The sequence below is a fragment of the Homo sapiens genome, chromosome 5 (genome assembly GCF_000001405.40).
Source record: "Homo sapiens chromosome 5, GRCh38.p14 Primary Assembly".
Lineage (NCBI taxonomy): Eukaryota > Metazoa > Chordata > Mammalia > Primates > Hominidae > Homo > Homo sapiens.
The window spans coordinates 138,578,831-138,605,869 of NC_000005.10; the positions used below are offsets into that span (position 1 = coordinate 138,578,831).

General features: G+C 46.3%; 1 long non-coding RNA gene across 2 annotated transcripts in view, besides 3 other annotated features; it reads left to right on the forward strand.

Annotated features, from left to right (window-relative positions):
* The window catches only part of LOC105379193 (uncharacterized), a 14,012-nt gene extending 7,753 nt beyond the window's left edge, over window positions 1-6,259 (forward strand). The window contains exons 2-3 of one of the 2 annotated variants that reach the window (XR_001742899.1): window positions 4,998-5,133; window positions 5,965-6,259. This is a non-coding gene — a long non-coding RNA (uncharacterized LOC105379193). The remainder of the gene's footprint in view (window positions 1-4,997; window positions 5,134-5,964) is intronic. The other variant, XR_001742900.1, reaches the window with a different exon arrangement.
* Window positions 664-713: an enhancer, noted in NCBI's record as "active region_23210". NCBI's record gives its function as "activates an Ori minimal core promoter by ATAC-STARR-seq in GM12878 lymphoblastoid cells {active_cell/tissue: GM12878}" and the evidence as "EXISTENCE:reporter gene assay evidence [ECO:0000049][PMID:35858748]".
* Window positions 24,970-25,049: an enhancer, noted in NCBI's record as "active region_23211". NCBI's record gives its function as "activates an Ori minimal core promoter by ATAC-STARR-seq in GM12878 lymphoblastoid cells {active_cell/tissue: GM12878}" and the evidence as "EXISTENCE:reporter gene assay evidence [ECO:0000049][PMID:35858748]".
* Window positions 25,070-25,139: an enhancer, noted in NCBI's record as "active region_23212". NCBI's record gives its function as "activates an Ori minimal core promoter by ATAC-STARR-seq in GM12878 lymphoblastoid cells {active_cell/tissue: GM12878}" and the evidence as "EXISTENCE:reporter gene assay evidence [ECO:0000049][PMID:35858748]".

The following is a 27,039-nucleotide window of genomic DNA, read 5'->3' on the forward strand; positions in this document are numbered from 1 at the left end:
TTTTTTTTTGTATTTTTAGTACAGATGGGGTTTCACCATATTGGCCAGGCTGGTCTCGAACTCCTGACCTCAAGAGATCCGCCTTCCTCGGCCTCCCAAAATACTGGGATTATGGGCGTGAGCCACCGCGCCGGCCGAGAGTTCGCTTTCCTTTTTCTTGCTCTATACGTTAAAAAGCCACGAAGTGTTAATCAAAAGAATCCTGGAATTAGGCCGGGCGCGGTGGCTTACGCCTGTAATCTCAGCACTTTGGGAGGCCGAGGCGGGTGGATCACGAGGTCAGGAGATCGAGACCACGGTGAAACCCCGTCTCTACTAAAAATACAAAAAATTAGCCTTGCGCGGTGGCGGGCACATGTAGTCCCAGCTACTCGGGAGGCTGAGGCAGGAGAATGGCGTGAACCCGGGAGGCGGAGCTTGCAGTGAGCCGAAATCCAGCCACTGCACTCCAGCCTGGGCGACAGAGCAAGACTCCGTCTAAAAAAAAAAAAAAAAAAGAATCCTGGAATCAAATGTTGTTATCTAAGGGTGTAGGAAACTACGATCCTATGGGTACATCCAGTGTGTTTGCTGTTTCTGGTGGTTTCTCAGGCGCCTTGCAAATACTCTCCACGACCACAAGGGGGATGTGGTAGCGCTAGATATTCAAAGCACAAGCTTTATCATATCTTCAGCGTGAAGGACAGGCTACTGGACTGCTTTGCAAATTAACATGGGCTACAGCCTGAAGGCTCAAGGAAATGAACCTGAATCTAAAAACATAAAGGTTCAGATGAGCAAGAATGGACAGATCCGTAGCTAAATGGTATAATTCTTCTACAGCACAGTGCTGTATTTCATTTCTGTTGTCATCTCAGTGCAAAATTGGGAAATGGAAGGAGCTAATGCATAATCTGCATGCAGATAAATGTTTACCAAACAGAGCAGGCGGCTGTCCAATACCTGTGTATGCCATACATATATATTATTCAGGAAATAATTATATATGTATAATTATTTTTTCTTTTATAGAGATAGGGTCTTGCTGTGTTGCCTAGGCTGGTCTCAAACTTCTGGCCTCAAGCAGTCCTCCTGGCTCAGCCTCCCAGAGTGCTGAGATTACAGGCGTGAGCTACAATGCCTGGCCTATATTTTTAATAATATTCTAACTGGCATGATTGTTACTTTAGCATATTTGAAGACAGGTAACTAGTTTCAACTTTTAAGTATTTAAATAACTCATTCATTAATAGGAATTGTCATTAGAATAGTAATCACCAATAGTTGTTGAGCGTTCATTTTAAGTGCCTTACAAATGCTTTATATACATTATTTACTGACATGTTCACAACAATAGTCTCAAGTAAATATTATTGGTATTACCATTTTGCAGATGTGGAAACTGAGGCCTAGAGTGGTTACATAGCAATTGAATGGTGAAACTAGAATTTGAAGCCAAACTCTCTTAACTCCAGAACCTGCACTACTAAACACTAGGCTCTGCTGTCTAATAACCAAGCTAGGTCTTATCTTTTACCTCTACTTTCACATATCCAGAAGGTGCGTTTTATAATACTGGCCTAATACATTATTAATAGCAGTTATTTTAGGCAGCAGAATTAAAAAGTTAGAAATACTTTAACCTTTTTTAGAATTATTTAGGTTCCAGGACAACTATAAAGTTCAATCTGTATTATAACTCATAGGATCAAGTTTATATTTTTAAAGTAAAGTCTCTTTAAACTGGTGACTCAGAAGACATTTTATTCAGTTTCCCCAGAGATGAATAGCATGCTGTGGCACTTTCCATCTTCAGGAAATAAAAATGTGGCATACTGCAGGGATTTGTCACCTTTGTTCTCCTTGGAATTTTTCATGTACCTTTGGCAGATTTCAGGAGACAGTTCCCACTTTTCTCTTTTGGCATTAGCTATACTCTATTGGAGTGCATTACACAGTGTCGCTCCACTCAAGTCTGGTTCAACAGAGCTTGCCCCAGCAAAGTGTAGGAAGAATTATGGCAGGTGATGTCCCTGGCCCCAGAAGTGGTGACAATTAGCAAGTTTCATTCTATGGTGAATGCCTAGTAACCCACCAACCTGCCCTCTTTCTGTTAGGAGAAAAGAGAAATACAGGATGACCCTAAAAGAAAAGTAAGGCAGCAATAAATCAAAATAAGATGTCACTTTGATTAGATAGGACATTTACATTCCAGTGACAATGTAGTCTCATTGCTCAAGGTAGAAAGCAGTCAGTTATGCTCACTCTGGATTTTCAATCAGGTTTGGAAAATAGTTGGCTATTGGATAGGCCAAGGCCTTGTGCAAGAAGTTCCTACTGGGAGTGGGGAGGGCTGACAAAACAAGAGATTTGCTCCTCATGAAGATCTATTTAATATTTAATTCTTAAAGATGTAGGAGCCTTTTCTGGATTTTTTAGTTTAGAGGGCCAAGTTTGTAATTTATTCTTGACCAGCATGATATAGTGTGAAAGGAACCCTGAACTAGCCGTTAAGCCTGAACTTGGGTTCTAGAAACCTGGAAAGAACCTTAGATAAAGAACAGAGAGAATCAGTGAATTGCCCAAGGTCACACAGACTGTTCCAGCTTCTGCTCTACAGCCTCCTTTTTTAACTTGCTATGCTTTTTAGAAATAACCCACATGACTTCAGGTTAAATGTTTAGTCAGTCCAGGACCTTTTTCAAATGCTTACAGACAATTCTGGCTCATCACCCTCTTCCTCCTATCCTGTCCTCACCCTTTCAGGCACATGATTAGTGAAATTACGTCAGTTGCCTTTTCAGTTCGCTTAGATTATATGCTCTCTCTATGCGAGGAGCTGTTGGTTTCTGCTATAGACTGAATGTGTGTGTCCCCCAAAATTTATGTGTTGAATCCCTAATTCCCAATATGATTATATTTGGAAATGGGCCTTTGGGAGGTGATTAAATCATGAAGATGGGCCCTCATGATGGAATTAGTGCCTTTATTTATTTATTTATTTATTTATTTATTGAGTCAGAGTCTCACTCTGTCACCCAGGCTGGAGTGCAGTGGCGATCGCAGCTCACTGCAAGCTCCGCCTCCCGGGTTCATGCCATTTTCCTGCCTCAGCCTCCCGAGTAACTGGGACTACAGGTGCCTGCCACCACGCCCGGCTAATTTTTTGTATTTTTAGTAGAGACGGGGTTTCACCATGTTAGCCAGGATGGTCTCTATCTCCTGACCTCGTGATCCACCCGCCTCAGCCTCCCAAAGTGCTGGGATTACAGGCGTGAGCCACTGCGCCCAGCCGGAATTAGTGCCTTTACAAGAGGAAACAGGAAAGATGATCTCCCCTTCCCCATGAAGAGAGCCCACACCAGAACCCACCATGCTGGCACCCTCATCTCAGACTTTCAGCCTCGGGAAGTGTAAGGAAGAACTGTCTATTGTTTAAGCCATCCAGTCTACAATATTTTGTTGTAGCAGCCTGAGCTGACCAAGACAGTTTCTCAGTTTCCCCATTCCTGTTCCTCAACTGTCAAGAGAGGAAATACCCAGGTTTCCTTAGGAGATGAGAGTTTAATGGAAGACTAGTTGGGAAAGTAAAGCCATTGTCTCAATACCCATACAGCCAGAATGCTGGAAGAACAGGGACTTCTTAGTCAGGCTCCATCAGGAGCTGTAGCGGCCAGTTACCTGTTTTCTTCTTAGAAATGGATTTCTGGTGTTCTCATCTGCACTGACTCTGCCTTTTTCTAGCTCAGCCTTTTTATGTTAGCTTCTCTAATTCTTGTGCTGCAATGGTACCCAAACTTCAGTAGCAGTCAGAATTACTAGGTGGTTCTTTAAGCATGCAGAGCACTGGTATCCCACCTCTGGACATTCAGGTCTGAGATGGGTCGTGGAATCTGCATGTTTAATAGAGGGGGATTCTGTCGGTGGGGTGGAGATTAAGGACCACGTCTTTTTAGAAATAGCCCAAACTCTGTGGTGTCTTCTTGTCTCCAAATTTTTTCATTACATGTCCCTATTAGAAAAATATTGGCGCACATCCTCCCATTATGTGTATGTTCATGTATTTATAAACTACATATGTGTATATAGTACTATTATTACAAATACATAAAAATAGAAAACAAAAATGAAAGAGATAAAATAGAAATAGATTTAAATACTTCTTTCCTGTACCCCAAAGTATCCCTGGGGCTGCTTGTACCACCCTTGCTGCCTTCCTCTGTGTGGCTTGATTACATCATCCCATATGGAAAGCCTTGTCGGGCAGAGTAAAGGCCCAGAAAAGTGCCAAGGTGTCACATGGGTCACTGGTTTACCTTACAGGCCCAGCCTTTAGTTTAAGTGCCAATTGCTTGTTTTATTCAACTAGTGGTTGAGGGGTTGGGTGAGAGGGCTTGTGTGTGTGTGTGCCATGACCTGAAGCAAGCCAGTTTACCTGGAAGGATCGCTTTGACGAGTTCTTCAAGGGAAAAGGGGATCTGCTTGCATAAGGGTCTCATGAACACCTCTCTTCCATAAAAAAATGAACTGTTTCTTTTCTTTTTTTTTTTTTTTTTGAGACAAAGTCTTGCTCTGTTGCCCAGGCTGGAGTACAGTGGCACGACCAAGACTCACTGCATCCTCCACCTTCCAGGCTCAAACAATTCTTGTGCCTCAGCCTCCCAAGTAGCTGGGACTACAGGCATGCGTCACCATGCCCAGCTAATTTTTGTGTTTTTAGTAGAGACGGGGTTTCACCATGTTGGCCAGTCTGGTCTCTAACTCCTGAGCTCAGGTGATTCACCCGTCTTGGCCTCCCAAAGTGCTGGGATTACAGGCATGAGCCACTGCACCCTGCCAGAATAAACTGTTTCTAAGCGTGCCAATGGGTAGAAGCCGTGAATGAGGCCATCCTGCCTGTGCTCTGCAACTTTGCATGGCTTCCCAAAGGAAGTCTGCTCTGTCCTAGGTTGTGTTGGGTGTGTGCATTGGTGTACATGTGTATGGTACTGGCCCACTTCTCTCTCATTCCATTACAGCATGAATCCCTGGCCTGAACTGGGGAAGTCACTTTCAGGATTAAAGGCAGCCAACAGAACATCAGCACCCAGAGCCCTGGAGAACAGCATCTGTGTTTGAGTGGTAAAGTGTCAACAGGCCGCTTAAGGAGGAGTGGTAACTGAGTCCCTGAACCCAAATACAATTCTTCCCTGGGGTCTGTCTGTGCATCTATCTGCTCTCGAGTATAGTCCCAGTTGCCAAAGACGTTTCACTTTTTCTGGTGTGTAATCTGTGGTTCATTGATATTGTCCTCTTGTTCTAGGACACCATTTTGTGAGTGGAGTATCATTTTCACGAGTTAGAGTGACCACACTGGCACTAGAGCTCAAAGTCAGAACTGGGAGAATCCCAGACACATTTCAGAAATCAAGTTACTAAGTAAATAGCAAAGAGCAATCTCCCTAAAAGGTTTATTTAGTTATCAAATACGGAAGGGGGTTTCCTACCTTCTTTTTTTCGAGTACTTTTCCTCCTGCTACGTAAAGACATTTACATTTTCAGCTTTCTTCGGTGGACCTAGGTATCTGAGTGCTGGTGTTCTTTGAGAGTACTCAAAGGCCAGAGAGAGTAGAATGTTCTTTGGAGAGCTCTGCAGAGGAGGGAGGCGTGGGGTGCTTCTCAGATTCAGGGCAGTCAGCAGCCATGTGTATATATCTATTTCCTTATTGGTAGGGAAATTTGAAAATAGATTATTTAGGGTTTTATTGTTTTTCATTTAGCTTTATACCATTGAAAATCTCTAGGACTGAAACATCATTTTTTTCTATCATTTTGTGTTCTGCTTATTTTGTTTACTATTGTCTAAAGATTTCTGCATGTCAACCTGGTCCCATATACTTGTCATTTTTAATGGCTAGCTATATAATCTTATTCCATAAGCTACATAAGTTTATTCCACTGAATGCTCTGTTCTTCCAAGTTTTTATTTATTTTTTATTTTTTCAGGGTATAGGGAGAGAGAGGCTGCATTTCTAAAATATCTCTGAGAACAAGCTGCTTTTCAGAATTCAAATCAACATGTGATCTTCTTCACTTTAGGGGTATATGCAGGAAGCCATTAGACACAACCAGGTATTGAATTGTCTTCCCTGAAGTCCGTGTCTGTGGGTCTGGCTGGGCCACTTGATGAGAAATCTCAGCAAGAGGTCTCAGACACCAAACTGGGGAAAAAATTAAACTGACAGAGTGCTTGATATTTCCAAGAAGTCACTTAGGTTCTGTGTATTACCGCAGCATTCAAAAGGGGGACATAGTTCAGTGCTGTGATTAAAGTGACTTTTGCCGTTAGCCTCTTTGTTCATGTAAGATATAATGGTGGGTTATAGCCATTTCATCATTTGGGGGTGTAATGGTTAGCTAAAGCTATTTTTCTCCAAAGGGCCAGTTATTTCTGCAGTTTTTCTCTAAAACTTCAGCTTTAGTGGGTAGGAGCCATAAATTCTGTGACATAGCTGCCTTCTTATCTGTCTTGGGAGTTATAGATTACAGATATAAGACAATTCATGTACCTCTGCATAATGAGGTGAGTTTTATAAATCATAAATCTTCACTTAACATGCAGGTGGTGTTGGGTGCCAGGTTTAGAAAAACTGATGTAGTTGCCAAGTTCATGAATGTCATAAATCATTCATGCTAAGGTAGCCCAGAATCATGCTGTCCTCTGAGGCAGACCAATTTCAAGGTTGTTGTTAAACACAAAAATGTGAGTCTCAGTGATTTTTTTTCAAAATGAACTGCACTTTTTTTGAAGATTAAAACCAAATTACCTTTCTTTTTTAAGTTGAAGTCAGTTTCCTAAGACCCTCCCTTCACCCTCAAAGAATCTATCAGTAATAATATCTTTCCTTCCCTGATCCCTGAATTCTATCAGAAACACATCACAAAATACATAACCTGTACATTTGCAATCCAGATCTTTAATGTGCTGAAAATGAGATTCAGACGTTTCAATAAATCTTGAGGCACATTTTTCGGAAAAAAACCCCTGGAGTTTTGGGGGTTATTTTCTTCTTGTTCCATATTTTACATGAAGTTGCCACAGATTAAAGATATGCTGATCTTAGTAAGCAAGGGTAGCTCTCTTCCACACTGCCTCTTTGGGGCAAAGACAGGGAAAGAGTAGGGTCTAAAGAGTTGTGATCCCAGCCAGGTGTGGTGGCTCACGCCTGTAATCCCATCACTTTGGGAGGCCAAGGCGGGCAGATCATGAGGTCAGGAGATCGAGACTATCCTGGCCAACATGGTGAAACCCCATCTCTACTAAAAATACAAAAACTAGCTGGGTGTGATGGTGCGTGCCTGTAATCCCAGCTACTTGGGAGGCTGAGGCATGAGAACCACTTGAACCCGGGAGGTGGAGTTTGTAGTGAGCCGAGATCTTGCCACTGCACTCCAGCCTGGTGACGGAGCGAGACTCAGTCTCAAAAAAATAAAAAATGAAAATAAAAAAAAGAGATGTGATCCCAGGCTGGGTGCGGTGGCTCACACCTGTAATCCCAGCACTTTGGGAAGCTGAGGCCAGAGGATGGCTTGAGCTCAGGAGTTTGAGTTGAAACCCTGTCTCTACAAAAAATACAAAAATTAGCTGGGTGTGGTGGTGCACACCTGTGGTCCCAGCTACTTGGAAGTGTGGGGTGGAAGGATTGGTTGAGCCCAGGAGGTTGAGGCTGCAGTGAGCCATGATCGTGCCACTGTACTCCCGCCTGGGTGACAGAATGAGACCCTGTCTCAAAAAAAAAAAAAAAGAGTGTGATTCCCGGGACCGTGTGCTGGAAGCTGTGCAGTATGGATGTAGACATGTGATGCCTGGGACGGCATGCTGAAGCTGTGCAGTATGGATGTACCCCTGTAAGGTCCCAGGCTTTATCCAGACTCCTGGGATGTGGATATTAAACCATAGTGTTTTCACTGAAAGGTGCTCACTTGGTAAATGAAGAAAGCTATGAGGCTGGCTATTATTGAGGAAGGAAAACCTGCCAGTGCTTTTGGTGAGAAGCCCTGAAAGAGAAAAAAAGAGAAGAAAATGATTTTGCTGGAGGCTAGTAGGTTTTCTAAGGGTAGATAAATGTCTGCATAAACTATCTCTTTGTGCGGTCTCCAGCAAAGGGCCATACGGCAGATAACGTGTGACTTCTTCCCTTTCGTGTACCACAGAAGTCCATTGGTGGTGAATATGTGAACAGCTACCCCTTCAAGGTGGGTTAAAAATGGTGAAAAATGGCAGGAGCCAGCCCTGCGTGGTGGTGGTATGTGCCTGCAGTTCCAGCTACTGAGGAGGCTGAGGCTGGAGGATCGATTGTGCCCAGGAATTTTAGTCCAGTCTGGGCAACATAGGGAGACTCTATCTCAAGAAAAGAAAGTGTAAGGGCCAATTCCAGGCAGAACATCTTTTTTTCATGGAATACAATCGAGTTTCCTTCTGTTGTGATAATCCCACTTACCCTGTGAATCCAAATTCTGAGGCTTGGATATAGCTCCTTAACAACTTGTGAATTTTTTTTTTTTTTTGAGACGGAGTCTTGCTGTGTTGCCCAGGCTGGAGTGGTACTATCTTGGCTCACTGTAAACTCCGCCTCCCGGGTTCACACCATTCTCCTGCCTTAGCCTCCCGAGTAGCTGGGACTACAGGCGCCCGCCACCACACCCGGCTAATTTTTTTGTATTTTTAGTAGAGACAGGGGTTTCACCATGTCAGCTGGGATGGTCTTGATCTCCTGACCTTGTGATCCACCTGCCTTGGCCTCCGAAAGTGCTGGGATTACAGGCGTGAGCCACCACGCCTGGCCAACAACTTGTGAATTTGCAGAATTACTAACATGATCTTTGTAATTTAATTAATCTCGTGAAAATATTGGAAGGCCGTTTCCTGCCAACTTCTTTTTCACCCCTCCTCTCCCTCCTCCACACTGCAAGCCCACCCTTTCTTTGTGTCTCCATGCTTTTTGTGTACTCTTCTCACTCTCTGGAATGCTCTTCTCTTTCTTTTCCAAATGTTGGGCCAGGCTCAGTGGCTCATGCCTGTGATCCCAGCACTTTGGAAGGCCGATGCAGGAGGATCACTTGAAGTCACGAGTTTGAGACCAGCCTGCGCAACATGGTGAAACCTCATCTTTATAAAAGATATGTACAAAAATTAGTTGGGCGTGGTGGTGCACACCTGTAGTCCCAGTTACTCAGGAGGATGAGGTGGGAGGATCACTTGAGCCCAGGAGGCAGAGGTTACAGTGAGCTGAGATCATACCACTGCAGCCTTGGCAACAGAGTGAGACCCTTCCTCAAAACAAAACAAAACAAAACAAAACAAAACAAAACAAAACAAAACAAACACAAATGGTGAGCTCCTATTCATCCTGTAAAGCCCACCACTTAAATCTCACCTTCTCTGTAAAAGCCTTCTCTGGCTTCTTGAGCTTGTCACTTGATCCTCTGTGCTTCTAGAGAACTTATCCACAGTTCCATCACAACATATCACAGAGGATTTAATTATTTGCTGGAATGGCCATTCCTCTGAATAGATAATGAGCATATTAAGGGCAGGAAGAGAGTTTTAGTAATCTTGGTATTGCTAGTCCTCATCATTTCTGACACAGAGTAGAAACTCAGTGACTAAATTTTCTTCTTTTTTTTTTTTTATTACCCTGTCCACCTGAGCAGTAACATGCAGCCTTGGGAGAGAACAAAGCTTTTTTTAAGTTGCATTTCATCATAACTTATGGATGCCAAGACTAACTCATAAAGCATTGACTTGAGTCCCCTGTAGGGATGCCTGCAGGCAGAGAGCAACCGAAACAAGGAGAAACTTTGTGCATTCTCAATGTGTCCTGGGATTTGCTGTAGATTCTGGGCAAATCTAGTTCTGTTCTTTATTCCTGTATATCACTAGGACTTTTATGTCTTTGTCTTTTCGCTGAAATCATTCTAATCTAGTTCTCATCCTTTCACACTTGAACTGTAGCAACTGCAGCAGGTATGACTCTCAGTTTATAAATTCATGTGTGTAGGAAGTATCACATTTATTTATATTCTTAAATAAAGGTAAACTCCAATTACATGCTCTGATCCCATCTGACTGTTGGGAAAGTTAATCTAGCTTATTTCTTGTCTTCAAGCTTGCGTTATGGTTCCAAGATCTTATATTTTGGATGAGATTGGAGGGAGCTTTGAGTTGTCCCATCATTTGTACCATCACTTGAGGCCCAGGTACTGACAGCCTGCTCTTCATCCTTGCCTCATCCTCTGGCCTGGGGTCCTATCTCCTAGATATACCATGAGGCCAGGCCTCTCTAGGGTCTTGCTCCCTTCTTAGGTGCTGTCATGCCAGGGATCAAGGCCTGGGTTCCCTTGTTCCAGGACCTACAAACATTCTCATTCCTGACCCCAAAGCATCTCTTTCTAGTCTGCTTGAAGTACCTTCCTGCATCATGCTGCTCTGAGGCCAATTTCCTTAAGTTCTAGGCTCTGTCTTGTTCTTCTACAGTGGTCTTTGATGGTCTTTTTATTTTTTACTTTTATTTTTATTTATTTTTGAGAGACAGTGTCTCACTCTATCACCCAGGCTGGAGTGCGGTAGCATGATCACAGTTCACTGCAGCCTTAACCTCCTGGGCTCAGGTGATCCCCCTGCCTCAGCCTGCCAAGTAGTTAGGATTACAGGCATGTACTACAATGGTTGGCTAATTAAAAAAACTTTTTGTAGGCTGGGTGCGGTGGTTCACACCTGTAATCCCAGCACTTTGGGAGGCGGAGGCAGGCAGATCACTTGAGGCCAGGAGTTTGAGACCAGCCTGGCCAACATGGCGAAACCCCGTCTCTACTAAAAATACAAAAAAAAAAAAAAAAAAAAAAAGCTGGATGTGACAGCGCCATGCCTGTAGTGCCAGCTACTTGGGAGGCTGAGGCAGGGGAATCGCTTGAACCTGGGAGGCGGAGGCTGCAGTGAGCAGAGATTGCACCACTACACTCCAGCCTTGGCGACAGAGTGAGGCCCTGTCTCAGAAAATTCTTTTTTTTTTTTTTTTTTGTAGAGACAGGGACTCACTCTGTCTGTCACCCAGGCTGGTCTCCAACTCCTGGGCTCAAGTGATCCTCCTGCCTTGGCCTGCCAAAGTGCTGGGATTATAGGTGTGGGCCACTGCACCTGGCCTTTTGATGGCCTTTTAAATCCCAAACCCATGTCACTGCAGCCATGTATTGGTTATGGTTTACCTTTTGGTGCATGTTTCTACTTTCCTCATTTAGATTTGTGAACCTTCTCGGGGCAGAGACTACCACTTTCTTGTATCCTGAGTCACCACAGGGCTTTTCATAGTGTGGGGGGCACTTATTAAATATTGATTAATTATGATAATGACGAGGACACAGGACTGTTTGTGAGCACACACAGCCCTGCCACACAGTGAGAATCAGGAAGATGAAGGGAAGAAGGGGCCAGGTTCATTATTGTCATATAATCATGAATATTTCACTGGTTTGTATCACCAAGGAGTAGCCTGTTTGTCCTGCTGCCAGCACAGGAGGAAGCATTTGCCCTGATAATGATGAACAAATTTCCTTGATCGAGTCCATGGGCCAGAGCTCCTCTGGGTGCTGGTCAGGCTGGCTTTGCCCTTCTTTGGCTTCTTCACAGGCTGTCTTGCCCGGCTCTCAACAATAGATTTCTCTGTCACGAATACAAACTAGCCAGGCCCTCTTGAACAAATCAACCTCCCCGACACCTGCTCAGAGCAATTAGCCTTCCAATGTGCTATGGTTAATAAACACGAATGGTTGTTATCTGCTTTTCCTTGGCTGGTCCTATGAGTGTCCTCACACAAATAGGCAGTTTGACCAGAGACCAGCTCCAACTCATACTTGGGTCAGAGAAATGGAACCCGGAACCCTCCTGCCTCAGCCTTCGGGGCTTCATGGATACTCCCTTACCTCAGCCTGCTGTGACCTCATGCCAGCCCCTCTCTGGCCTCCATTTGGATTCATCTGGTGATAAAAAATGAGCAGAGGAGATACCAGTATCATCTGGGTGGTGGGACTAGATGACCTTTAAATCCTGTGACTGCCCATCCTGCAAGTCTTTGATTCTATACTTTCCACTTGCTTGGTTTTTTTTGGAGACGGAGTCTCACTCTGTGGCCCATGCTGGAGTGCAGTGGTGCGATCTTGGCTTGCTGCAACCTCTGCTTCCCGGGTTCAAGCAATTCTCCTGTCTCAGCCTCCAGAGTAGCTGGGACTACAGGAGCTGGCCACCACGCCCATCTAATTTTTGTATTTTTAGTAGAGACAGGGTTTCGCCATGTTGGCCAGGCTGGTCTCGAATTCCTGACCTCAGGTGTTCTGCCCACCTCAGCCTCCCAAAGTGCTGAGATTACAGGCATGAGCCACTGCTCCTGGCCCACTTGCTTGTTCTTAATCAACATTTAAAATCCCCCAAAGGCCGGGAGCGGTGGCTCATGCCTGTAATCCCAGCACTTCAGGAGGCTGAGGAGGGCAGATCACCTGAGGTCAGGAGTTCGAGCCTGGCCAACATGGTAAAACCCCATCTCTACTAAAAATACAAAAATTAGCCGGGCGCGGTGGCACTCGCCTGTAATCTCAGCTACGTGGGAGGCTGAGGTAGGAGAATCGCTTAAACCTGGGAGGCGGAGGTTGCAGTGAGCCGAGATGGTGCCATTGCACTCCAGCCTGGGTGACAAGAGTGAAACTCTGTCTCAAAAAAAAAAAAACAAAAAAAAACCCAGAGTTGGGTGTGGTGGTGCACACCTGTAGTGCTGAGAAGAGGATCACTGGAGCCCAGGAGTTCAAGGCTGTAGTGTGCAATGATGGTGTGCCTGTGAATAGCCACCACACTCCAGCCTGGGTGACATAGTGAGATCCATTCTCTTAAAAAAGAAAAAAATCTCCCAGCTTCCTGCTGGTCCCTTCAACCTCCTTATATCGGCAACCCTTCCTTGATAGATTCACTGCAGCAACACGGGCCTTCTTTCGGGTCCTTGAAGTGTTGCTTCTGCACTTCCATAGGCCCTCACTTCTCCCTAGATCACTTTCTCCCCACCAGCCAGTTGTCTAACCCTATTTAGCCTTCAGGTCCCAACATAAATGTCACTTGTATAGGCAAGCTTCTCCAGCCCCCAGAATAGATTAGATTCCTAAGGCCTAGGCCAGTCCTGCATATTATCTTCCACAGCACTGTCTACACCTATAATACTTTTTTTTGTTTTTTGAGATGGAGTCTCACTCTGTCGCCCAGGCTGGAGTGCAGTGGTGCAATCTCGGCTCACTGCAGCCTCTGCTTTCCAGGTTCAAGTGATTCTCCTGCCTCAGTCTCCTGAGTAGCTGGGATTACAGGCACCTGCCACCATGCTCAGCTAATTTTTGTATTTTTAGTAGAGACGGGGTTTTGCCACGTTGGGCATGGTGGTCTCAAACTCCTGACCTCAGGTGATCTGCCCACCTTGGCTCCCAAAGTGTTGGGATTACAGGCGTAAGCCACTGTGCCTGGCCTATAAGCTACTTTTTAGTAAAAAATTATTTAGTATTTATCTTCTCTAGTGTTTTGATTCTTCATGTATGCAGGGACTATGTCTGTTTTGTTCAAATTTTTATTGCCAAAACCTGGCCCAACATCTGACACCTAGGAGCTGTTCAGTAAACATTCATCGATTGGCCGCCTGCTTGCCATCTCAATCATGAAGTTGCCCTGCTGTTCATTCATGTATTGGTTTAATGTTGTTTCTCTATTGTTTATATGTTTATGCTTGTCTGTTTAATGTTAACTGTCTTAAGTAGTACATTTCTAAGGGGCTAGAATCCATGTATAGAATTTTCTTTGTATGGTGTTTTGTATGTGGGTGTAAGCGTATGTATCTCATTCCCCAACTGTAGGGAAAGAATGAGGAGGTATTGAGAGGCCGAGGCAGGCAGATCACCTGAGGTCAGGAGTTCGAGACCAGCCTGGCCAACATGGTGAAACCCCGTCTCTACTAAAAATACAAAAATTAGCTGGACGCGGTGGCACGTGCCTGTAATCCCAGCCACTGGGGAGGCTGAGGCAGGGGAATCCCTTGAACCTGGGAGGCGGAGGTTGCAGTGAGCCAAGATTGTGCCACTGCACTCCGGCCTGGGCAACAGGGTGAGACTCTGGCTCAAAAAAAAAAAAAAAAAAAAGAGGTAAAATTGAGAAGATGGCAGCAAGTGTTACCATGGAGGAGACTCTGAAACTCAGTCGAGATGACTTCTGAGTCCTTATGGTATTCCTGAAGATGGGCAGGGTTGGGGGCAGGACTGAGGGAGTTTTATGATGTTGTTAAAAGTGGCTGTACTCAGAACTGTGCTATATACTGCAGAGTAACAGGAGGAGGGAAGAGAGAGTCTTCAGGAAATGAAGAAGAAAGAGGAGAAGTGGGCTGAGCTGGAAGCCTCATTTTCCACAAGGACACTGAAACATTGTTAAGCCAAGGAGAACTGTTAGCTCTGACAATAGCTCCTCTTCTTATGAGTCCTTTGGTGTTTTAATTATTTTTAAAATAAAGATTGAAGAACAACTTTTATAACTGCAACTGGAACAATGACAAGCAGTACTGATGGGGTATAATCATAACAGAAACTTTGTTTTCAGCTCCCACTGTTTCTTCTTTTCTTTTTTTTTTTTTCAAGACAGAGTCTTGCTCTGTTGCCGAGGCTGGAGTGCAGTGGTGTGATCTTGGCTCACTGCAATCTCTGCCTCCAGGGTTCAAGCAATTTTCTTGCCTCAGCCTCTTGAGTAGCTGGGATTACAGGTGCCTGCCACCATGCCCAGCTATTTTTTTTTTTTTTAGTAGAGACGGGATTTCGCTGTGTTGGCCAGGCTGGTCTCGAACTCCTAACCTCAAGCAATCTGCCCACCTCGGCCTGCCAAAGTGTTGAGATCACAGGCGTGAGCCACTGCGCCTGGCCCCACTGTTTCTTTAAACCTGCTTTGTAGTGATGGTCTTAAGTGTGCTCCTGGACAAATACTTTTCAGGATCCCTTGGAGGTGTTAGGAAGCCTTATAGCCACTGTACGCAGTACAGCATGATTTCAATTAGGCACTTAAAATGTTCAGCTTGGTATTATCAATGTTTCTGCTTGGTTTTCGAAGCTTAAGCTATTTGCTATTTGTCCTTCCTATCTGGGGCCTGCTGCAAATGAAAAGAAAGGGTGTAGTCTTTCTCTTCTGAAGTTTCTGATCCTTCTAGAATTAGAGCACAAGAAACTAAGAGGCGACAGAAAATATGGTACTTGTCTCATGTCAAAGCTGGCTTTGCACTCTCCTACCTCCCAGTGTGGCCAGTGTTTAAATCTAGCTTTCTCATAAAGCACTTTTGTGGGTTCTTCAGAGATCTGCGCACACACACACACACACACACACACACACTGCTGCTGCTGCTGCTGCTGCTGCTGCTGCTGCTGCTGCTGCTGCTGCTGCAGCAGTTCCCAGTGGCCTGGGCAAGTGGACTCCCCTCTTGTCAGTTGCTTTCGCCCTCTCCAGACCCTCATAATGTAACAGTCCATTTCCAGTTTCTCTTCTGCTCAGGCCTGTTTGCCCTCTGACATTCCTATTGGTCAGGATCTAAAATGCTCTCCAAAACATCCCCCTATGCATGTGCCCCACCTCAGGTCTGTGAGAAACAGGTTTTTGCCCACACAAGCTCTGAACAAATCCCAGCATCACAAAGCAGCTGCTAGCACATATGGTGGCTTCTACATTTTTTTGGGCTGGAGTCAGAAATTAGACCACTCTGTCCTGCTAACTGCAGGAGAAGACACATATCAAACTCTCCTAGGAGTCTCTTCCAAGCTCTTCTCATTAGGCTTGTAGTGAAACACAGGTATCCTCTTTCTTTTGGAGGGGGTACCCATAGCACACGAATACTTTGCACCGAATAAATCCTTTTCAGAAACATTCTCTTAATATCCAACAATTTCTTTTTCCCCTTGATAGGGGTGAAAATTTGAGAGTCCCATAAGTGATTGTCAACTGTTTCCTATGAAAATTTGCATCATTGCTGGCGCCTCACTTTGGTATGACATGGGTACTGCATATTGGAGCCTTACTGAAATTTCCAAATAACACAATGTCATCAAACAAGGGATTTCAGGAACCAAGTGGTTATTTTCTGAGTATAGGTAGGTAATATTATTGTTCTCCTGTCTTCTCTCAAGGAAGCTTAATTGTTCTCATCTCTAAAGTGGGCCCTCATCCTTTCCTTGCTCAGTAAGAGCAGTAAGAAATCTTGAGGATAAAGATGACTCTGCATGGACCACAGGCCCTTGGGAATAGTTAAGTAATCTACAGAGGAAGCCTCTTTCATAAAGAAGGCAAGTAGAGGTGAAGGGCATGATGGAAAGAAGAAAACGCTAATTTCATTAGTGTTTTTCTGATCCCACCCCTACCTCGGTTTGGAGCTGTCCTCTTGTTGTATGAAGGTCTCTATTATAGCCCCCAAAGCAATGCTTATGCACAGCACAGCCAGTGGCTACTGGGCTGCCTTCCCTAACTCCTGTCAGAGAGATCAACAATCCTTGGCTCAGTGTTTCCCTGGCGTATTTGTATCTGTGTCTATGGGTTTAAGGTGGGAGGGGTAGATGTCATCGCCTTTGACAAAATGGCTGAATATCTTTACTTTATCATGATGAAAAGACTTCTTGGTCTTCCAGTTCAGAGCCAGAGCCTGCCTTGCAAGGAATTCAAAGGCTCTGATCTGGAGCTGCTGTCAAGCCAGCAGATGGAGTCACAGTCCTCTGTGTGCTGCTGGGCCTACCTGGGCTGGTGTGCAATGTGATGCTGGGCCCAGCTCTGCAGCCAGAGGGGACAGGGAAATGAATAAAAATGATGGCACCTCATTGCCATAACTGTTGTTCTGACTGCACAGGAGTTTGATAAAATATGCTCCTGGGGAGGTTGCTTTCTTGTATCTCTCTGGAATCACTGCAGAAGCAACTGTAAGGAGTGAGTGCTCGGATTCCTGAGACAACTGTAGGGCATGGGGCAGGGAAGATGCAGAGATGACAGAACCAAGTCCTGGGCAGTGGAGGAATATGGCACAATTCGCTCACCCCTGCAAAACCTCATGGGGGAACAGGGATACAACCAGTGGCTCTTGGAGAAAGGGCAGCCCTAAGAGGAAAGTTTAGACAATGATGGTGAATTACCATCTGCTTGACTCTCCTCTGTCTGAATTGCAAGCACTGGAGTCCCTTTTACTAACATCTGTAGACTGCTTAGGAAATTTGCTTTGGGGCTAGTAGAATTTAAGTTTCCCCGATATTACTTTTTCCTATTCTCTAAGCACCCCCCCACACAGCTTGATAGATAGTAGCTCTTAATAAATCACACAGGCGTGAACGGTGCTCCCACTGAGAACTCTTCTCTGCCCCTCTCCAGCCTACAGGAGGTCTTCTGTGAAAGGAGCCCTCCCCACCTCCTCTCATAGCTTCAGAATGGAGGTGGGGCAGTGGGTGGATTCCTACTCTCTGTGACTATCCTCTCTGACCTCCTCTATTTAAATAGCCCAAATTCAGAAGTAGGAGTGGACCTGAGGACCCAGCAGGATAGTCCCTCTAGCCCACGGCCTAACCCCTGCAGATGCCCAGGAAACCAGGGGGCAAGTGGGCCCCCCTGGCTGGTCCTTTGCTCAATCCTGAAGGCATCTGTGAAGGGAGCGGGGGTGCTTGGGTTCTTAGCTGCAAAGCAGGTGGCATGGTCTCCTCTTCATTGGGAACCCAGAAGTGTCTGGCAAGTCTCTCTGCCACAGGCCTCCCTGGGGACCAGAGCTCTTTGAAGAGAAGAAAAGGTTCTAGGAACAAGAAAGCTGCTGCTCTTGATGAAAAAGTCAGGAGGGAAGAAAATGAGACCAACAAGGGCTGAAGAGAACTATCTGTGGGCTGAAGAGAATGTTAATGGCTCTGCTCCCGAGCTTCAAAGCCTGAGCTGGGTAGGAGTGCATGCACATGCCTCAGCTGTCACCTCCAGAATACTTACCAAGGACTGAGGCTTGCAAGCATTCCCAGCCTGATTTTCCCAGATCAAGCAGAGCATCTGCTAAGGCAGAAGAAAGAGAAGCCATTGGGAGATCCTAGGCCTGTTTCTGCTAGCTGGGGTTTAAACTTAACTCTTCCATATCAGTCAACAAATGGGGTTCCCAGAGGAATTTAGGTGGCAGGGAAATGACTGGTGGGGAAATGGCTCTCATGGAACAAAGCTGGCTTTCCTGTTTAGAAAATGGTAGCTGCTATGGACTGAACTGTGTGCCCCCAAAATTCGTATGTTGAAGCCCTAATGCCCAGATGGTATTTGGAGGTGGGACTTTGCGGAGGCAGTCAGATTAAAGTGAGGTCATGAAGATGGGTCCCTCAGGGTGGGATTAGTTCCCTTATAGGAAGAGACACCAGAGGGCTTGGTTTCTCTACTCTGCCTCCCCCTCTCCCCCTCTTACTGCCCCCATCTTGGACTTCTAGCCTCCTGAACTGTAAGAAAATAAATGTCTGTTGTTTAAGTCACCCAGTCTATGGTATTGTGTTACATCAGCCCTGGCCAACTAACGTGTAGCTGTATTGGATGCTGCTGGTACCCTGCCCAGATTCCCTTTACCTTTTCAGTGTATCCATCCCCCAGCTGTTATCTGGGACTCCAATAGCTCACAGATGTCCCCGCCTCCAGAAAATTGCTCCCAGTGTGTAGGAGACCCTTTGTACCCTCCTGTACCCATCCCCTTCAGGTTTCAGCCAAGAGGGTACAAAGACCAGCCCCTTCATTGCAAGAAAGGATCAATTCCTTGGTGCTGTTTATGCTCTTGAGTACCCCCCAGTGGAGTCAGGCTGAGGCTAAACACAAAGTTGCAGCCATATCCTTCTCTCCTACCCTTCCCTGCTTCCTTCATTCTCTTTCTTCTGAAGCCACATCTCAATAAATCGTGTGCCTTGAATCCTACCTCAGGCTCTGCTTCTGGGGAACCTGACCTAATACAGCCGCTCTCCCAAGTGGCAGAGTATTGAGCAACCCAAATGGCTGTAGAGAGCCCTGTGAGTATAGTGATGATTAATGCCCAATGACAACGAGCATTGGGAACAACAGCCCCTCTCTCTATGTTCAGAAAGCATAGAGGAGTAAAGGCCCACTGAAAAAGAAGTGGAGTGTGTTTTTCTAGCAATAGATGGCTCCTTCAATAGGCATCTGGCAGACAGCTGTGGTAGCAAGGGTATAAAAAGCCTTGTTAGCAGAGAGCCACAGGCTGAGGTTCCATAGGTTTAACCAGTAAAGGAAGCACATTGACTGGAAGAACCTTTGAGCCATGACTAGACAGTCAGCCGGGTAGGTCTGTGCTCTGCCTGGGAGCCAGCTGCGCCCTGAGCGCCACACTCCCCTGGGCAGGGTCCGGAGCTCTCTGGAAGAAGCCCAGCACCTGCCCAGGGAACCGGCTGCTCTGAGGAAAGGCGGCAGGTACTCAGGTCTTGTCATCCCTCTGCTATGTTTTGCTCAGCTTCTTGGCCTCTTCATGATGCTATTTTGTTCTTGGGGCTTTCTTTTTCAATCTTTTTGCAATTGTTCCCTTTAAATTTCCTCCTCCTTCCTTTCTACCCCCTGCTTTCTTCTCTGAGTCCAGGCTTCATTATTAGGGCCTGTGAGATTGGGTCTGGCTCCATTTTTTAATTTTAATTTTAATTTTTTGAGACAGTGTCTCGGTCTGTTGCCCAGGCTGGAGTGCAGTGGTGTGATTTTGGTTCACTGCAACCTCTGCCTCCCAGGTTAAAGCGATTCTCCTGCCTCAGCCTCCTGAGTAGCTCGGATTACAGGTGTGTGCCACCACGCCTGGCTAATTTTTGCATTTTTAGTAGAGATGGGGTTTCTCCATGTTGGCTAGGCTGGTCTTGAACTACTGACCTAAGATGATCCGCCCACCTTGGCCTCCCAAAGTGCTGGCATTATAGCCACAGCGCCTGGCCAAGGTCTGGCTCTATTTTGGAAGGATGAAGGTGGATTCTTACTTTCTTCCAGTAAAGCACCTCCAAGACGGTTCCTCATTGCTTCTGTCACCCCTTAGAGCTTAACTTCAATGCACCGTTATGTTGAAGACCTCCTTCCCACTAGTGGTGAGGATGGGAAGGGAGTTGGTGAGGGGGCAAAGAACCCTCTCTGGCAAGGCCACTGGGTGGTACCTTGATCCGTCTATTTTGATAGTGATCCCCAGAGAAAATGAGACAGAGAGCACAGTAAATGTTTATCGAGATGCTCCCAAAGATGTAGGGATACACCTCAAATATCTCTGACCTCAAAGCACTTAGTTGACTCACTATTTCTAGAATCAGAGTGGCTCCTGATTCTTACTCTCAAGAGATCTGGAATCTTGTGTTTTGATTTAGAGGTGAAAAGGAAAATTTTGGATAATTATTATCCATTTCCATAACTTTTCTCCCAACATATTTTGTGGGAGGGAATAAAATAGGGGTAGTGCCAGGAATGGTGGCTCATGCCTGTAATCCCATCACTTTGGGAAGCTAAGGCAGGTGGATCACTTGAGCTCAGTTCAAGACCAGCCTGGCCAACATGGTGAAACCCTGTCTCTACCAAAAATACAAAAAAATTAGCCAGGCGTGGTGGTGTGTGCCTGTGGTCCCAGTTACTTGGGAGGCTGAAGGATGAGAATGACTTGAACTCAGGAGGCAGAGGTTGCAGTGAGCTGTGATTGCGCCACTGCACTCCAGCCTGAGTGACAGAGCGAGACTGTGTCTCAAACAAACAGAAAGGTAGTATAAGGACCTTATCCCAGAGAGACAACTAACTAAAAGGTAGCTGTTTTCTTCCAAACATCTCCAGCAAAATGGTCGACTGGCTTTGGGAAGACTAGATCCATGACTTCAAATGATGCATCATGGCCAGGGCACCGTGGCTCACACCTGTAATCCCAGCACTTTGGAAGACTGAGGTGGGAGGATTGCTTGAGCCCAGGAGTTCAAAAGCAGCCTGGGCAACATAGCGAGATCCCATTTATACAAAAATAAATAAAAATTTCAAAACACCAGCTTATTAAAAAACACGCTGGGCACGGTGGCTCACATTTGTAATCCCAGCACTTTGGGAGGCCAAGGCAGGCAGATCATGAGGTGAGGAGTTTGAGACCAGCCTAGCCAACACGGTGAAACCCCGTCTCTACTAAAAATACAAAAATGCAGGGCGCGGTGGCTCATGCCTGTAATCTCAGCACTTTGGGAGGCCAAGGCGGGCGGATCATGAGGTCAGGAGATCAAGCCCATCTTGGCTAACACGGTGGATCCCTGTCTCTACTAAAAATACAAAAATTAGCTGGGCGTGGTGGCAGGCACCTGTAGTTCCAGCTACTCGGGAGGCTGAGGCAGGAGAATGGCATGAACCCGGGAGGCAGAGCTTGCAGTGAGCTGAGATTGGGCCACTGCACTCCAGCCTGGGTGACAGAGACTCCATCTAAAAAAAAAAAAAAAATTAGCCAGGTGTGGTAGCACACACCTGTAATCCTAGCTACTCAGGAGGCTGAGGCAGGAGAATTAATTGAACCTGGGAGGTGGAGGTTGCAGTGAGCTGAGATTGTGCCACTGCACTCCAGCCTGGGTGACAGAGCAAGACTCTGTCTCAGAAAAGAAAATTAACAAACAAACAAAAACACCCACACACAAAAACAAATGGTGCATGGGGTACAGACTATCCCTGTTCCTTGGCTTTGCTTGTTGCTGCCTTGCTTCAGGGTCAGACAGGCTCTTCACATATGGCAGCCAGGTGGCCACCAGCAGCTCCAAACCAGCGCTACCCTCAGAACTCACCATTCCATGGAGAGAGTATGTATTTTTTCCATAGCTCCTGCAGAAGCCCGGAGAGCACTGTGATTGGTCTGGTTTGAGTTCTACGTCCTTCTCTGAATCAGTTGCTGTGCCTAGAGGTGTGGAGTAATCTGATGGGCTAGGCCTGGGTCATGTCCTTACCCCTGAAGTCCAGGGGAGGATCTTGCCACTCCCAGGACCATGTGGTTTTGGAATAACTAAAGAGATTGATCCCCTAAGGAAGCAACACTTGGGGAGAAACTCGTGTCCATTACAGCATGCGTTGTCTTTTTGCCTTTTTGACTGTAGAGTACATCTAGCTCATTCAAATGAAATTGCTTAAGAAACACAAATGATGGGCTGAGCGCGGTGGCTCATGCCTGCAATCCTTCAGGAGTCAGAGGTGGGTGGATGACTTGAGTCAGGAGTTCAAGACCAGCCTGGCCAACATGGTGAAACCCCATCTCTACTAGAAATACAAAAATTAGCCAGGCATGGTGGCAGGCACCTGTAATCCCAGCTTCTCGGGAGGCTGAGGCACGAGAATCACTTGAACGCAGGAGGCGGAGGTTTCAGTGAACTGAGATAATGCCATTGCGACAGCCTGGGCGACAAGAGCAAAACTCCATCGCAAAAAAAAAAAAAAAAAAGAAAAAAAAAGGAAACACAAATGATAGGTTCAGCAGTCAATTATAAGAGGTACTTTCTAGACTCAGTTGTGAGGAAAGGGAAGGTCAGTATAAGAGAGGATCAAATCAGTCCAGCTCCTGGTCATAGGGTCCAGAAAACCAGCTGGGGGTATTGGAGAACCATGAGGAGGAGGCAGTCTTGCCATGAACCCATGGGTTGTGCCAGGAGCAGCAGCTTGCACATAGCAGCACTCAGATAATGTTTGTAGAATGGCTACTCCAAGAGTCAGAAGGTCAAAGAGAAAGCTGAGAGAAGCAGGAAGAACCAAGAACTGAAGGCAGACTCTTGTGCTAAGTCAGAGTCCGACTCTTGTGCTGAGTCAGAGTCCCACTCTTGCATCAAGCCATGTTCCTGCAATTTGCCAGATTGTACACAGCTGATACTCTAGGATTTTCCCACACTATATGAAACTCGTTTTGTTGCCTTCATTCTAAACAGCCGGTAAAGTATTTGGCTTTCTAATAGTTCACAATGGAGGACAGGGCAGGGACCCATTAGAAATGACAGGTGACGCTGGTCTTGTGGACAGAGTCTTCAGAAACAGGCAGTCTTCCTCTTGAGAGTGAATTATTTTATTTTTTGAGAAAAAGTCTCACTCTGTCACCCAAGCTGGAGTGCAGTGGCACCATCTTGGCTTACTGCAGCCTCTGACTCCCAGGCTCCAGCAGTCCTCTCACTTCAGCCTCCTGAGTAGCTGGGACTACAGGTGCGTGCCACCAGGACTGGCTAATTTTTGTATTTTTTGTAGAGACGGGGTCTTGCCATGTTTCCCAGGCTAGTCTTAAACTCCTGTGCTCAAGCAATCCTCCTGCCTCAGCCTCCCAAAGTGCTGGGATTACAAGTATGAGCCACCATGCCAGGCTGAGAGTGGATTTTAGACATTGTGACATTGTAACAAATTTTCAGTTATAGATAATTGTCATAGAGAAAGATTCCACGTGGGGCTCTTTAAGCAACATTTTCTTGAGCATGAGTGGGTTTTGGGAAATGAGTGCTGATTTACCCTTCCCGCTGTCCTCCCTCCCATCTCTCCGTGCATGGCCTTTGTGGCCAATAGGCAGGCAGGCATTAGTGTGTACTCCACGGAAGCATGTGGGTTCTCAGGCCGGGAGCTGGCATTCAGCGACCTGGCCTGAGCACAATGTGGAAATGAAAAGATAAAAACCTGAGATATGTGATGGGGGCTGCAGTTTGGAATAAATGGGTTCAGGCCCTCTGCCCAGTCAGCTGAATGCTCTGGCAGCTGCTGCATTTAATGGACGACTCCATTAACATCTCCCTTAAGGGAGGGCTGTTGGGGGTGGAGGAAAGAGTGTGTCGGGGGGTGTGTGTGTATATGTGTGTGTGTATGTGTTTGTGTATGTGTGTGTAGAAACTAAAAAGGCTTGGAGCTTTTCTCCATGATCTCTTGGAGTCTATTCACAGTTATAAATCTGTTGTGTTGGCGTTTTTGGTTTCCTGGGGGAGCTTTGTGGTTCCCTTTGTCTGTGTACCATGGCAGGCTTTGGCAGCTGAGGTGGAGCTGGGAAGGACAGCAATTTGGATAGGGTAGAAGGGGGGCTCAGACCACCTGCCTTCTCAGCCCCACAGGCTAGGGAAGATGAGAAGGAATACATCTTTTCCCCTTTGTTTTTTGTTTGTTTTGAGACTGCATCTCTGTCACCCAGGATGAAGCACAGTGGCACAATCAAGGCTCACTGCAGCCTCAAACTCCTGAACTCAAGTGATTCTCCCACCTCAGCCTCCTGAGTAGCTGGAACCACAGGTGCATACCACCATACATGGCTAATTTTTAAACTGTTGTAAAGATGAGGTCTTCCTGTGTTGCCCAGGCTGGTCTCAAACTCCTGGCCTCAAGCAGTCCTCCCACCTCGGTCTCCCCGAGATTACAGGAGTCAGCCCTTTCCCCCTTGTAATGAAGAAATTGTCAGTTCTGGAATTCAGAAGATAAAAACATGAAGGACTCTGGGGTGCCCTCAGAGCGATTCTGTGATGATGCTGGCAGATGAGGAGAGGGGAGGGAGGGAAGAGGCGGGCCCCAGGATCCAGAAGCGGTGTCATGAGTGACAAGATACTGGCCATTGCAGGAGAAGATGAGAGCCAGGTCTAAAGGGGGAACATGGGAAGCACAGACTCATCTGCCTGGTGTGCTTAGATTCAGGCCCTCTCTGGATGGACAGGAGGAGGAGGTGCCTCTTCCCATGGCTAATGAATGAGACTCAAAACCTGCCAGATAATCACGGTGCCTGAGTCTTCCTGAGTCCCTCAAACACAGAGAACACAAAGGGTAGTAACAGGAAACCAGGTTTCCACTGAGGGATTTTCAGTCCTAGATCTTCCCACTCTAGCCTTTTAGCTGCTGTCAGACCACATTAGGGCAGAATCTTGAACCCAACCACATGACAGCTGCTGGGAATTTCCCCCAGAGGAGAGTGTTGTGACACGAGCAGGCAGAGCAGCTCTGATCCAAGACTTTGCTCCTGGCATCCCTGAATACCCTGACTAGCTTACCTCTTCTTAAAAGTCACTTCCAGAGGCAAAGCTAGGTACTTGGGGGTGGTGTCTACCCACAAAACACACAGAACTGTATATGACTTGCCCAGAGACAAGTTCTTAGATAAAGGCTGTGATTTGCAGCCATAGTGGCCTGACTGACCCTGAGTCCTGGGTTGGCAGGGAGGCCAGGGTGGAGGGTACAGTGGACATGACCCTGGCTTAGAAGTGAAAAGTGTGGGGTTCAGGCCCTGATTCTACCGTGTGTAGCTGTGTGACCTTGAGATATTACTAAGTTCTATAAGTTTTAGTTACTCATCTCTAAAATGGAAATAATACTTTCCTCAGAGTGTTATCAAAAAGCGTATAAAATCACTTTGCAAAATGCTGTATTGATGGAAGGAATGATTTCCTTTATTCATTCTGTCTTCCAGATCCAAAGGCTGTTCTTGGGAATGTGTGACAGCTATTGGGTTCAAGGGAAGCATCTGGAAAGGTGTGTGTGTAGTGAGGGAAAGAAGAGAGGAAGGGGGAGTAAAAGATAGGGGAAGTGGTGTTCCCTGTAGTCATGAGGACATGACATGAGCTTCTCATTCACACAGTAAGAGTCAATAAGCACCTGGTGGAAGCCACTGGCTCGAAACATCCACGGGCCTGATGCTACTCCGATATAGGGAGGGTAAGCAGGGGCAGCCAGAAAATGGGGTTGTGAGCATGGGGAGAGAGTGAGGGGCAGACTCGTGATGAGGTGCTGGCTGTGACTCTTCAGGCCTCGATCTCAGATTCTGGCTCCTCTTTTTACGCATCTTGTCCGCCTTCATTCCCACTGCCAACCATTTGGCCCTGCGTTCTACTCCTAATTCTCCAGAGAGAATTTGACGCCCTCCCCTCACCAGGTTGCCCTGGTTCAGAGCTTGAACTCTCATTATAGGGTACATGGTTTGCATAGGATATAAACAGTAGCTCAAATTTTTGAGGGACTCCTATGCGCCAGGTACAGTGCTAGGTACATATCTCACTAATATAACCCTCCAAACAACCCTACTGCAGTAGCTTCTAATATTTTCCCTATTGTGTAGATAAGCAAACTGAGAGGCTAGATAACCATCAAGTGGTAGAGCTAGGATTTGAATCCAGGCCCACTGGCTTCAGAGCCAGAGCTTGTAAGCAGCTTCCTTACTGCTTCCGAGGTAGGACTGTGAGTGAAGCTGTACCTCTAAGCAAGTGAGTGCTCTCTTAGGAGCTGTGAATGGGTATGGTATGAAAAGGGCTCTGTTGCCATTTCAGGTTGATAAACACTGAGGGAAGGGGTACATGGCTCCTTGACATGTTCCAGTAGAGAAACTTTCTCCCTTTGTTGACTCTGGAGTTTCTTTCCCAACATTACCTAAGCAGAGAACTCATTTTTATTTTTTGCAACATGCCTACTAATCTACAATGGACTACAGGACTGCTGGTTTGGGAAATGCTCTCCTAGACTTACCCTCCACCCCACACCACTCAGCACCAGGGCAGCTAGGACTTCTGCAGAGCACCAAGTGTTTGGTGGCCAGTCAGCTCAGATGGCAACCACAGGCTGGTAATTAACCAGGGTCAGGCAGCAGCTGCCGTCCCCGGGCTGATGAAGAAGCCATCCAATAGAGTTGGGTGGTTTATTTCTTGCTTTCATTTCCCTCTGTCACTGCTCTTGTCTAGACCCTTTACAGATCAAGTCTGCACTGTCACAACAGTTTCCTGACAAGTGTCCCTGCCAGCTGGTTCTTCCCTCCAGTCCACCCTACACACCTGGCCAGATCTGTCTTCCTAACATGAGGCTTGGAGCTTGCCACTCTCCTGTCCCAAATGCATCAATTCAGCTTTCAGGACTGTCTTGGTTCCTTTTTCCCCCTGCACACCCTATACTGTGGATGCAGCTGAATCATTTCAGGCCCCTCTGTGCTCTGCACATTCTGCTTCCTCTGGCCAGTGCTTGAAGAGCTCCTTCCTGCCTCAGGAAGGGAGGGAGTTTCTTTCCCAACATTATCTAAGCAAAGAACTCCT